Below are 13,763 nucleotides of genomic sequence, written 5' to 3' on the forward strand. Positions count from 1 at the left end.
ATTCTCAGACATGCCGAGCAAAAGCTACCATCGCAGGCAAGAGGGACGGTGGGGGGAAGTGCAGCTGGGAGTTTTCATAGAGACGTGGTTCCTTTGTTCTGGTAGATTTCAGCCAGAAAGAACAGCAAATTTTTACTGTCTGCAAACCACTAAGGAGCTACTCCCCTCCCCCTTTACCTCCTTCCTTCCCAACCTGGGAATTCATTTGCTGCTTCTCTCTCCTCCTCCTCTGCCCTCGGGCAGTCCTCAGGGACAAAGCTCTTTGTTGTGAACACTCCGAGACAATACGGGATTGCACAGTCCCCAGGGCACAATCGGGGCTGTCCTCCATGGAGAGTGATCGCCCGGGCAGAGACCCCCACCTGTTGATCTCCCCCTTCCCGGGGCGAGTGGCAACCTGCATTGTGCTGGGGACGCACGCGTTTCCACAGCAGGCTCAGCAGATGGTGCTGGTGAGCAAAGCCATTCCCGTCCCTCTCGCGCCCCTCCCCACCGCCAGAGCCTCGCTGGTCTAAAGCAAAAACAGATGTTTTCATCATTTCTGGATCTGGCATGTGACTCGCAGTTCAGCAATGCGCCGACATAACCCAGAGTTGTACGTCCCCATCATCCCCCGCAAAATAAAAATCCTGAACTTAAACGAGCCTTCCTCCTAGGCGAGCCACTGACACATGATCTGTGTAATCCACCCGGCACGTGTTTAATCGGACTCCAACTGCAACTGCCTTTGTAGCCAGCCCCGGCTCTATAATTGGGAAGTTGTCTTTTTTTCAGCGAAGACACGGGACAGCCAGACTAGCTATCTTTACACCAAGGGCTGGGAAGAGGCGCTAGCCTTTTAAAATAGCCCTGGTCTGGCTGGCTGGCGAACCTGTCTGCGTGGGAGCCGGTGAGCGGGGCCAGAGCAAAACAGGAAGGCCGCGGCGGCGCACCCTGTTCCCGGCGCCCTCGGCAGGTGGCAGCATTGGCCCGAGCTGGCCTCTGCCGCTGGCCAGCCCCAAAGCAGGGCCCTTTTACTTTCGGTGGCCTCAAAATTATTAGTTCCAGATGAGTTCTTGCAATTGTAATATTTGGTTTAACCCAATCTGCCCGACTGCGTCAGCGCACGTTCAAATACAGCCGTCTGAAGTCTACCCAGACATCAGAGGCATGTTTCGGGGGTGTCAACATTCCTTACCCTTTGAAAGAATTAAAGCAAAACAAAACAAAACAAAAAAAGGAGGCTGATTTATCCCAAAACGAAAGAAGGGTGAACAGGCGTGGGGCTAGGGTGCCTGAGAGGGAGCGAGCAGTGGACATTCAGGGAAGGCGTAACAATGGAACTTTGTCCAGGAGGCCCGCTAGAGTGGAACTGGATTTATTTGTTGAACTAGAAAGGGACCTCTAGGTTCTTTGAAGGTTAGAGCAAATAAGCAAAACTGGCGTGCATTTGGTTTACCAACAGCAGAGTCCTTCAAGTCACGTAGGCTGCTATTGTCAGACACAAAACGCGTTGTTTCTGGGGCTGGGCCTCTGCTTAACACTTGGCTTGGTGTCCCAGGAAGGGGGCAGTGGAGGAGGGGGCTCCCCATCTTAGCACACAGCTTTTAGGGGCACTCTGAATGTCTGCCAAGGATGTAGACTGGGTTTCCTAAGGACAGCAGCCTAGGCCGCAGAGGACTCGTTTAGAAGACAGGAGCCCTCCTGCAGGCCCTCTGGCGAGTGGACTGGCTGGAGTCGTCAAGTGTCTTGTAAACGGCCCTGCTGTGGTTTTACTGCAACACCGTGGAGCTGGACACGGGGGAGACTAGGGACCCATCCCGGTGGTCTCAGGGTATTACAGATGCATGAGCTGAGGCTAAAAGACTCCCTCTGACCCCCAGGGCAGAGCAGCAAAATGTGCAAAGGGAGCCCAGAAATCCTGCTCCAACCACCAGCCAGGAAAGGGTGTCTCTTCCCTTAGCAGAGATGGAATAACCTGGCCTTGAAAAGACAGCCTCTGTCAAGCAGTCCCCCACACCCCTTCCCCCTGCCTGCACCTCACTTTTAAATCTGTGCTCAAATTCTTCAGTAAGATTCCTGCTAGTCGACTACAGGGAGCCTGACCGTTTCCCTGCAGGTCTCTGGCTCAACATGGTACTGATCAAAAGCTGGCACCAGTCTGGCAGATGCTTTAAGTCCTGCATGTCGGGAGCTAGCGGCTGGTGCTGGCATCAGCCAGCCAGGCAGACAGAGTGGCCATCTTGTTAGATGTGGTTGGGGCCTCGCTCATCACTTACCTGCTGCAGGGGCCACCCCACTGTGTGGAGGAGGCGTAGGAAAGATGGTGGGACCTCCACACATCTGTTCCAATACCTCCAGAGTGTTTAGGGACCCAGACTTCCTGCTATCCTCCTTTCAGTCTGAAAACTACATGTGTCCCTGCAGATTGTTGGGAAAGTGCTGATTGTCTTGGCGGGAGCCTCACCCTGATCCTAGAGGGGACTTGGCCTTGGAGGGAAATAGGCAAATTAGGCATTCAGGTGAGTACAATGGTTCGAGGCCTGTGTGCGTAGAATGGCTAAGGAATTCCAGTATTCCTTTCCATTGCTTCATTTACTTTATTCCCTTCTGAGAATCAGTTTTTGGACATGCTATAATCCAGAAATTCTCAGTCTTGCGTACTTAAGAATTGCCTGGACCCTACCCCCAGAGCTGCTGAAATCACAATGAAAAGGGGTTGGGGATAGGGGTCATGATTTTACTCCCTGCCCAGGTGGTTGTAATGTACAGCTAGAAGCTAAAAAACAAAATTTAAAAATCACTGCATTTCTAACCCAAATTCCCTTGATTTACAGATGAGGTTCCTAAGAGTTAAGCGGCTCAGCCAAGGTCACACAAATTCAAGTCCAAGTATGGAATTTCTGTATAAGACCTCCTTGCTCCTCAGCAATGATTGAGGCTTTTCCTCAATCTTTGAACCCATTAATGACAGAGCCAGTCACTTCTTTTCCCTGTTTAATGAAACCCTCTATCAGCCACAACGTGTGTTGCTGTTGCCTATAAGAAATTCCTCTTACAGTCGGCTCTCTGTATCCATGGGTCCTTCATCCATGGATTCAATTGGCCTCAGATACAAAATATTAAAAAAAAAAAATATATATATATATATATATATATATGTATGTATATATGGATGGCTGTGTCTGTACTGAACATGTAGACTTTGTTTCTTGTCATTATTCTCTAAACAATACAGTATATCAACTATTCACATAGCATTTACATTGTATTAGGTATTATAAGTAATCTAGAGATGATTTAAAGTATGTAGAAGGATGTGTGTAGGTTTTATGCAAATCCTACACCATTTCATCTAAAGAGACTTTAGCATCCATGAATTTTGGTATCTGCGAGGGTCCTGGAACCAATTCCCCACAAATACCGAGAGAGAACAGTACTTACTGGGGAATTTTCAACTTTGTAGCTTTAAATAAAGGCTTATACTGAGACCTTTAGAAATGAAAATCTAACCCCCGCCAACCCTGATTTCCCTTATTTATCACTTATGTTCCCAAAAGGGATTCATACCTGCAGATGGCCATCATGGTGATAACTGCTTTGCAATGATTTGTTTTTAGGGATGAGGCTCCTGGGCCCTAGAAAAGTTTAGTGCCGTGTTTGGGCCAAAGTAGATGGCAGAGGCAAAGTGAACATGGAGGCACCCACTTCCCAGCCCTTGGTGACATCACTGCTTTAATCTCACCTCTCTTCCCCTGGGGCTGCTCAAGGTGCTGTTTTCTTGTTAGTCGTCACCTGCTGGAGGTAACAAACACCCTCAGAAATACGTCTGTCCTCTGTGGGCAAGGAAGCAGTCACTGGCTTAACCCTATGTTTCTGAGAATTGGTTTGACTTGAATATTTTGAGATCTTTGATGCTTGAAGGTTGAGGAAGTTACCATATTACCATAACTCATTGGGAACAAGGGAGAAAAAGAGCCCAGACATTGTGGTCACCAGGTAAAGTGGAAAGGAAGCTGGACAGGGAGTCAGGCAACGGTGTCCTGTGTGACCTTGGACAAGCCATTGTATCACTATGGGCCCAAGTTTTTTCCTCTGGAAAAAAGCCAGGAAGTTGGACATGATCTCTGAGGTCTCTCCCAGCTCTGACATTCCATGGGACAACGAGTTCCTCATCTCTGGGACCTTCCTTTTGTCGGTCAGATGTGAGGCTCTGGATTCTCTTCTCTCTCTAAGTCAATTACTCTTGAGGCATTTCCCCAGTGACCTTAGGACTAACTCATGATTTTTAAACATGGAGGTCAGAACATGAGCAGCCACACAAAAACAACGACTTGGTTCCCTACCCAGTGCCTGGTGACTTCACAAAGGACACTTAATGTAAGTCCCTTCTCTAGAATTCTTTCTTTTCTTAGAGGAACTGCCCAGGGATCTTGCATCATTGGGGCTTGTTTGTCCATCCACCCATTTATTCCATCTTATAAACATTTGTTAAGTACCAACTCTGCTTAAAAAAAAGGATGGGGAAGAATGTTTATTTCTAGGAATGACTCTTCTAGATTAAGAGGCTACAGAGGCATTATAACTAAATACAGTATGTGACCTTGATTGGATCCTAGATCCAAGAAGAAGAAAAAAGCCAGAGAAGACATTTTTGAGAGACCTGTGGAAATCTGAATATAGATCTCGTAATGGGATTATTGACACATTTTTTAGATTTGATAATAGCATTGTGGTTTTACATGAGACATTTTACATGCTGAAGTACTTAAGGATCAGTGTCATGATGTTTGCAACGTTCCTTCAAATGATTCAGAAAAAAAAGCAAATGTACCAGATGCTGATGATTGATGAATCAAGGATGGGGAGTATCAAGTGCTCATTGACTAACTCAACTTTTCTGGAGATGAGTTTTCGAAATAAAAAGTCATGACCAAAAGGGAGTGCCCCTGTCCACAGGGGGCTTCCATTTCCCATTTATTTACCCTTTACTGCTTATCAAAGGCAAACAGACATGTGAATCACTATATTTAATCCAAGGCAGAATAGAATACATGGCCAGAGGAGGTATAAGTGGTAGATCTTGGAAGACCAAAATGGAGAGTTGTTAATTTTTCCTAGGGCTTTGATGGGGGTAAGGGAAGGCTTCTTAATGGGGCAGTATTTGAATTAGGTATAGAAAGGTGTGTACAGTTTCAACAGGAAAAGGGCAAGGTTCGGGGGGGGGGGGTGATTTTAGGCTGAGGGGACAATGGAAGCAAAGTTACAGAGCCTGAAGTTGTTTAGGGCACAGAGATTACTCTATGTGACTGGAAGGTAGTAGGTATGGGGAGGGATGTAACGGGGTATAAATATTGCTTGGTGTCTGACAATGGGTGCCTCAAAAGCTATACAAGCAATTAAAACTCTGACCTCAAGAAGAGATAAACCAAACATGTATTTCATGCTGCACCCACAAGTAGCTGCAGTATAACCATCAACACTTGGTTGTCTAACTAATGAATTTTCTGTGGCAAACTCCTGCCCATTCTTCAAAACTAGCACATAAGATTCCTCTCTAAAGTTTTACCCAACCTCTGCAGATAGAACTAGTCACTCTGGCCTTTTCTCTTTCTGTTTCTGAAGTCCATTCACACTCATCGCGATGTCACCAGGAGCAGGTAAGGTCAGTCTTGACAAGAGCCAGTTCTGCCTGCTTTCTCTAGAATGCACTCACTGGTTCTTATTCTTTTTTTTTTTTTTTTTTTTTTGAGATGGAGTCTTGCTCTGTCACCCAGGCTGGAGTGCAGTGGCATGATCTTGGCATCACTGCAACCTCCGCTTCCTGGGTTCAAGTGATTCTCCTGTCTCAGCCTCCCAAGTAGCTGGCATTATAGGCGTCCATCACCTTGCCTTTTGTGTGTGTGTGTGTATGTGTATTTTTAGTAGAAATGGGGTTTCACCCTGTTGGCCAGGCTGGTCTCGAACTCCTGACCTCAAGTGATCCGCCCACCTCGGCCTCCCAAAGTTCTGGGATTACAGCCGTGAGCCACCGCGCCTGGCCCACTGCTTCTTATTCTTATCCTTTTTGGATCACCAGTCCTTTGGCTCCACAACTCAGCTCCGCACACTTACTTGCTTCAGTGTCTGCTTGCTGGGATAACCAGCCAGTGGTCACATGGTTTTTTGATATCTTCATGTTACCTTGGTTTGCCAGCTCCATGGATCGAGAGCTTGCAGGAAAGAGGCCTGGCTGCTGCCCAGCTTATGCCAGGGCCCCACATCAGCTGGGTTGTCAGTGGGACTTCACCAGCATGGAAATAAGAGCATTTCTTCCTCCATGTTCTCAGGGAAATTTTGTATACCTTTATTGCTACAGTCCCTATCATCTTGTATTGTGATTTTTTTTTTTTTTGCCTGTTTTCTCTGCTATACCATGAGTCCTTAAAGGACAATCTTATATCTTAGTCAGCTTTGAATCACCAGAACTTAGCATACTTCCTGATACTTAGCAGGTGCTCAATAAATGCTTATTGCAAGAATGAGTGGATAAATGAATGGATGGAAGGAGACGTATCTTTTCATTGACATCCATTTAGATTCCTACATCATTTGTCCTTTATCTGAATGCATAATTAAGAATTGATTATGTGTTTAGAAACCGACAGCCATAAATAGGTCACGGAGAGTCTCCCTTATTGAAGTTTCATTTCTGTGTGCACTTGTATTAATGCATTAAGTATGGCTCCCTAAGACAGTGAGAGCCTCTAGTGGTGTTCCTCTGGGAAGCTGTTTTTCCAATGCATGTAGAAGAGATGAACTCTGCTGTGGAAATCACACAGGATTGCAAAATGTATCAACACAGAGCTTGGGAAAAGAGTTGAGTCATAAATTATAGTAACAAGACTTTGCTCCTCTATGTGGCCCTTTTCACCAGCAATTCCACCCAAAATGTAGCAAAGACTAATTAAATTAAAGACTGCTAGCGTCACATTCCTGCTCAATCTGTATGGAAAAACTTTGTCATCACATCCGCAAGAGTATGGCCGTTTCACCTCTGTTTGACACACCAGTAAATTGTGTGCTGAGAGACAAAGGCACCAACTTCATGAAGAGCTCAGGCCGGGAACCAAGGGATCTGTTCTGATCACTAAATAACCATCCTTTGTCCATGTAACAGATGGTGAGTAATTGTGTTGGCTTGTGTAATTTGTCCTGGCAGTGTTTCCTTAATGACTGTTTTCAAAATATTCTCTCTGTCCCTGCCCCTCACCCCCAGGCCCCTATCTGTAAAGGATAAGAAACAAGTTTCCAGTTGATTTCATGATTCAGAACCAAGCTGACCATGTTTATGTGGTTCTTATAGAAAAATAAAAGTTTCATACTGGATCCAACAATAGCTTAAATCCCATGCAGGACAACTGACAATGGCTTGGGTGATTGATTCCACTGCCCGGGAATGGATACCTGGAAAGCTGATTGGGCTTAGGGACTGGACGTTGTGATAGAGAGGTCTTGTCATCTCTTGATTCCACCTTCTCAAACTAGGAGCACCGGGATTCTCTCTCTACTAATGATGAAACCTGTGACCAAGGAATCACCTACCACACTCTCTGCTGAGCAGTATTCATGGGGCTATTTTGATTCAGCTAGGCTCAGTGAAATTCAGTGATTATTTGTTGTTGAGGCGCTCTCAGGAATAAGATGTCACACCAGGTGCTGTAGGGCCGTCATATTATGAACTAGACATTGATCCTTTCCTCAAGGCTGTCTAGATCTATAGCCATCTCTACCCCAACTTCTTGTAGGACCACAGAACTGATTTCCTCTTTCAGATTTTGTTAGATAAATTGGGTGTAGAGGAAGGAGACCCCAGGAAATAGGAATATGAGTGGTGATTATATTCAGTTGAGAATCTTGAATAAAAGCTGGTATGCAAAAGAATAGTCCGGCTCTGAATTCAATTTTTCAAAGCTCATTCCCTTAGAAATATTATTTCTAAATATGATTATTTCTAAATTCCCTGGCTTCAGACACAGTCACCCTCTGCCTGCCATTCAGAGGACTGGTGATAAGAGTGCTACAAATGGTACTTCCATTATTTTGGGACGTTCCTCTTCACTTGACTTTGGTGGGGAATCCACAGCCATCAGAACAGAGAGTTGGAACTGGGGGCACTGGATGAAGACCCGTTGATAGAGAGACAGATGTTGACAATCAGGGTTTTCAGAGAGGCTAAAAGAAAATGTTAGCAGTCTTTATATAGTGGAGTTCAGGCACCCCTATTTAAAAGGGAGTGATAAGTTTGAAATTAATTTACATGCGCCTGTAAAACACTCAAAAATACATCGTACAATTAAGCACCCAATGCCCCAGTGCCCTCTGTAAGTACCTGGATACCCCAGTGTCCTCTGAAGAGTGTGATCCAACCCATTTTCCATCTTCCAGCATGAAAACAGGAAAATAAAGGAGGCTGCCCACCACCTTTCAGAGTCAATGTATTTTGAACATTGTCAAATGATCCTCCTGCCAACTCAGCCACAGGAAAATATTGCTTGAGAGTTGCTTCCACTGCCCATCACCTCCTAACCTTGGCTCCAGCAAGCCCTCTCCACACCCTCTGTTCTAGCCATGCTGAGTTGCCTTATTCTTTAACAAGCCTACCTTGTCCCATTCTATCCTGTACTCCCTTCCTGTTCATGCCATTCCTTGTGTTGTTGGCTGATTTTCCTTCTACGTTTTGTGTAAATCTTTGTATTTTCCATGACAACCAGCACAGGTCACTGCACATGGTATATGTTCAATAAACGTTTATTGGATGAATGATTAATTTTCTTCTCCATATTATATTCAAAAAGAATTAATTAAAGGATTAGCTGTATGAGGCACAGTGCCAGGTGCTCTGTTGAGATAAATACACGAAGGGTCCCTGTCCCTAAGTAGCTTAACATCTAAAACTGCTAAACAGATATAAACACTCATCTGTAGCAGCCAGTGTGACCTGGGTTCTTAACCTGAAATCTACTGACAAGCCTCTCCCCCAGCAGTGTGTGAATGAGTCCATGAAACCTCTGAAATGATATGGAAAATGTTGCATATATGCATATTTTGGGGATAAGGTCCACAACTGCTGTGAGAGTTAGGGCATAAGAGATGGTGAGAAGTAGCAGATGCTGGATTTTGTTTTGGACTTATTGATTTATTGATTGATTTTCTTTATCTTGGATTTTCTCTTTGAGTGATTGGATGGGTGTCCTGCCATGTACTGAGGGAGTGAGGATTTGCTGGTGGATGTGGGAGCAGACCTGAAGAAGAGGAAAGTCAACATGTAAACAGTAAATAAGCTTGAGATGTCTATTAGGTATCCAAACATAGATGTCAGAGAGAAGTTGGATGTAGGGAACTGAGCTCAGAAGAGAACTGGGCTGGAACTATAAATTTGAAAATTGTCAGCACATAGATGGTCCTTAAAGTCACTGTGTTGGATGTCACTCAGGGGAAGAGAGGACCAGGGAATAAGCCACAGGACTTTCTGAGACATGAAGGAACAAGATCCAGCAAAGCAGGCTGAGACGGAGGCGTCACTAAGTTAGGAGGAAAACCAGGTGACTGTGCTATCCTTGAAGCCCAGAGCAGACAGTGTTAAGGGAGCACTGGTCAGCCATGTAAAGTTTCACTCCTAGAAACGATGTCACCTTCATGCACATATTTACTTGTCTGTCTCACTGACTAGACCCATTTTCCAAGTCCAGCTCAAGTTCAGACTGTACAGGAATCACATTTATCTTAGAATCGGCAGGGCACAGCACAAAGCCGGGCACATAATTGGTGCTTGCTCATTGTCTAATGAATTGAAAGAAGGAAAGAAAAAGAAAGAAAGAAAGAAAGAAGGAAGGAAGGAAGGAAGGAAGGAAGGAAGGAATCTCAAAGGCCAAGCAGGAGAATAAAATACCCTTAAAGCTGAGGCTTCGGGGGCTGAGATAGCATTGTTTTAGCATGCTTTCGGAACAGTGTAGGAGCTGGTATGGTATAATGTGTCTCCATGTAGCAGGAGGCAGGACAGTCGCACTGCTGTGTCAAAGAGCTGGAGCCCTTGGTAGGACACGTACCCAACAATGTCATTTGTGCACAAGGGAACTTGGCTGGGGAGCAACTGCACTTCCACCTCCACCATCTGCTTAGTTAATTCCCAGCCCGCTGGCTCCAGTGTCTCTTACCTCTTAATTACCAGCCTTGGCTCCCACCTGGCTCAAGAGACCAGCTTTGCTTCCCTGTTGCATTTTAAGCAGTGACCTGACAAAGCCTATCTTTCCTGGCTGAGATTTCCTTTGGTCGCCTTCAGCCAGCCCTTTCCTTTTGGGATATCCTGCCTTACCCATGTAGTGGTTCAGAGCAGCCTGACATCCAGGTGGCCCTGGCAGCTCTGAGCTAGTTCTGTCCACTCAGGGGCAATGCCCCACAGGGCAAACTGGCATTTAGAGCCTTTGAGAGTAACTGGCACAGGATAAAACCAATTAAGAGGGCAGTTCAGAGATGCTGGGACCCGTGGCATAGTCTATCATTGGTGGACTTTCCAAGTCAGGGTGACGGTAATTACCTGAATCCCTGGATGCTCTCTTTGTACAATGTTCTGACATCCTGGAAAAGAGCCTACCTCAGTCAGTTCATCTCAGCCCAGATAGTGCCTATTCTTGAACTCTCCCTGCTCTAAAAGAATTTCAGTGTTTTTCCTTTTTGAGGGTGGGTGACCTTGGATTGACGGCATCTTGGTTCAGAGCATGACCTCAGAATGGAGAGCTTTCTCCAGCTGAACTGACGAAATTTGCCTCCTCTTAACCCTCTTAGCTTTTTTCTTAAACTCCAGTCAGTAGAGAAACTCCAAAATTTACCCTTCTTCTGAATTGAGTTGCTTTTATTCTATAGATATTTTAATCTTTCCCTCTGTGTCAACTTTGATGACCCTGACAGTGAAGGTGAGCATGATACCGAGATTTCTGAGTGTCGTCTTCTCATCAGGTGCTCAGATAAGAGCTCCTATGCTAGGTCCTTTGGACAACAGAGAAAACCAATGAAGGGTGTGCATTCTAGGTAAATAGTCAAAATAAGATGCTTGAAGGTGGATTGGATTATATAAACTATCTCATATGCCCCAGATGCTTGTGACAGCCACCAACAGGTAAGTGCATGTGAGCATTCTAGGGGACAGGGGATTTTATTTAAAAGCCCAAAGGAAAATGTTCATGTCTTTTTATTTCCAAGAACTTCCCATTGTATCTTATTTAATCTTTACTAGAATAATCCTACAGGGAAAGGAAGGAGAGTGGAATAGCTTGCTCCTCCTCACCTTTTACCTTTTTATAGATGGCAACTGAGATGTAGAAGGAATGAGCTATCCATTAGGTAGATCTGGGACTTGAACCTGGGTCTTCAGATTCCCACCACAGGGAGAAGTTCTTTGAGGGTGGGAGGCATCATATGTATTACCTGGCTCATCCATCTTGGATGAAGATGGTAGAAAGCTGCACTGTGAACAGGGCTTCAACTCGATATCCACCCATCTGGTGGATATCAGAATCTCCAGAGTGGGCAAAGGAGGAAAAAAAAAATCTAGTGTTTTTCAGAAAAATATATTCATTATACATTCCTGCTTAGAAAATGAATGTTTATAATATAAACTATCTAGCAAAATTCTAGCAAAATCTTGACTAATATGGTATGGGTAAAAAAAAATACTGAAAACCAGTTTGATCTTTTTTGTCCTCTATGTCCACCAAAGAGTTGTCGTCTCTGGAGCTGGAACAGCTACCTCACTGCATGGCCATCATCCCACTATACCCTGATAGAGTGTGGAGCCAGAAGTAGCTCCAGAGGAATCAGCTATCATCAGAGCCTTTACTACCAATTTGTAGTCTCAGTTGGAGTTGACTTCTGGTGAACTGGTGGACTGAGGCTGACCCATTAATCAACAGGTCTTACTAAGCACATGTCCAGTACTATGCTAGGTGCTTTGGACAACAGAGAAAACCCACGAAGGGTGTGCATTCTAGGTAAGGAGTCAAAACAAAATGCTTAAAGTTGGACTGAACTACCTAAACGATTAGACAGGTTCATAAAAAAGAGTAATTCTGGGCCAAGCATGGTGGCTCATGCCATGCACTTTGATAGGCCGAGGCGGGCAGATTGACTGAGATCAGGAGTTTGAGACCAGTCTGGCCAACACGATGAAAACCCGTCTCTACTAAAAATGCAAAAAAATTAGCCGGATGTGGTGGCGTGCACCTGTAATCTCAGCTACTCAGGAGGCTGAGACAGGGGAATTGTTTGAACCAGGGAGGTGGAGGTTGCAGTGAGCTGAGATTGTGCCACTGCACTCCAGCCTGGGTGACAGAGCAAGACTCCATCTCAAAAAAAAAAAAAAAAAAGGTAGTTCTGTATATGATGTATTTGGCATTTGAATATTAAATACTTGCTATGTGCTAAATTTCCTATATCAGGTGTCGAAAATGTAGGGTGTCAAAATAGGCAGGATAAGCTAAGCTGTGCTGAAGTAACAGCAGTCCCCAGATTTTAAAGCTTTAACACAACAAAGGGTTAATTTTGCTCAGATAATACATCCAACAAGGGTGTAAGGAATTGTCTGCTCCACATAGTCACTCAGGGACCCATACAGATGGGAGCTCCCCATATTGTGGCTGAACTTTAATATAGCATACATGAAATATTTGATGAACACTAACAGTTTCTGTGACACGTGGGAGTGGATATAAAGATAGATATAGTCCCTACCCTCAATTCCTGTTCAAAACTATGACACAAAACAGATGGTGCTAAGCACCATCAGAGAGATACAGATAAAGTGCTGAGTTAGTTGAGAGACTGGACAGATTGGTGGGACTGAATCCAGGACAGGATTTTGGAGAACATGGCATTACAGCCTGAAGGATTGGTAGGTTTTGATAGAGTCTTTGAACAAAGGCATGCTGGTAGAAAAGCAACATAGAACAGCAAATAGTTTGCTTGAGGGCAGGATCTGAGATGAGGAGGAAGGATATGAAGGACAATGATAACTGAGTGCCAAGTATGTGCTAGGCCCGGTTTTAAGTGCTTCACGTATAGTAACTCATTTAGTCATCTCAATAGTCCTTTGTCGAAACTGGGGCCCAAAGATTTTAAGTATTATTTAAGTTAATTTGCCCAAGTCCAGAGTAGTACTATAAGGCAGAGCTAAGCTTGTCCCTGAGGCCATCTGACTCCAGAGTGGGTGCTGTTACAGGTAAGGTCCAGATTCCAGAGGGCAATGAACACCAGCCTAAGGCACCCGAACATTTACTCTGAAGGCAGGGTGCACCATGGAAGGCTTCAAAGGAGGAGAGTGACATGATCAGATTCGTAATTAAATCATAAATGGCCCAGGTCCCTAAAGTGTGAAGACATGGGAGAAGAGGAGAAGGGGACTTGAGCTGGATTCTGAGTGATGGGGATGCTATGATCATATCAGAGAGAAATAAAGGACTTTCCAGGCAAGGGACAAGCCCGCTGAGGAGGTAGAAGAAATACATGTGGATTGGAGCAAGATAGTGAGATTTGTTTGACTACGTTGGGCGTAGGTTTCATAGAATGGGGACAGGTAGGGCAAAGCAACGTGGTAAGGGATTTTAAAGTCACACTAAGGAGTTCGGTTTGATTGAGTCAGAGGGAAAGAGACATGGACCACTTTGAAGACACAGCCAAGAAATGTGTTAAGAGGTGTCTCCTTGCCCTTCACTGTCCCCAGCCTGAGCCTAGTCACGGCCCCAACACACCTG

General features: G+C 45.0%; 1 annotated feature.

Moving 5' to 3' along the window:
- Nucleotides 628-837: an enhancer, noted in NCBI's record as "active region_5663". NCBI's record gives its function as "activates an Ori minimal core promoter by ATAC-STARR-seq in GM12878 lymphoblastoid cells {active_cell/tissue: GM12878}" and the evidence as "EXISTENCE:reporter gene assay evidence [ECO:0000049][PMID:35858748]".

The sequence above is a fragment of the Homo sapiens genome, chromosome 11 (genome assembly GCF_000001405.40).
Source record: "Homo sapiens chromosome 11, GRCh38.p14 Primary Assembly".
Lineage (NCBI taxonomy): Eukaryota > Metazoa > Chordata > Mammalia > Primates > Hominidae > Homo > Homo sapiens.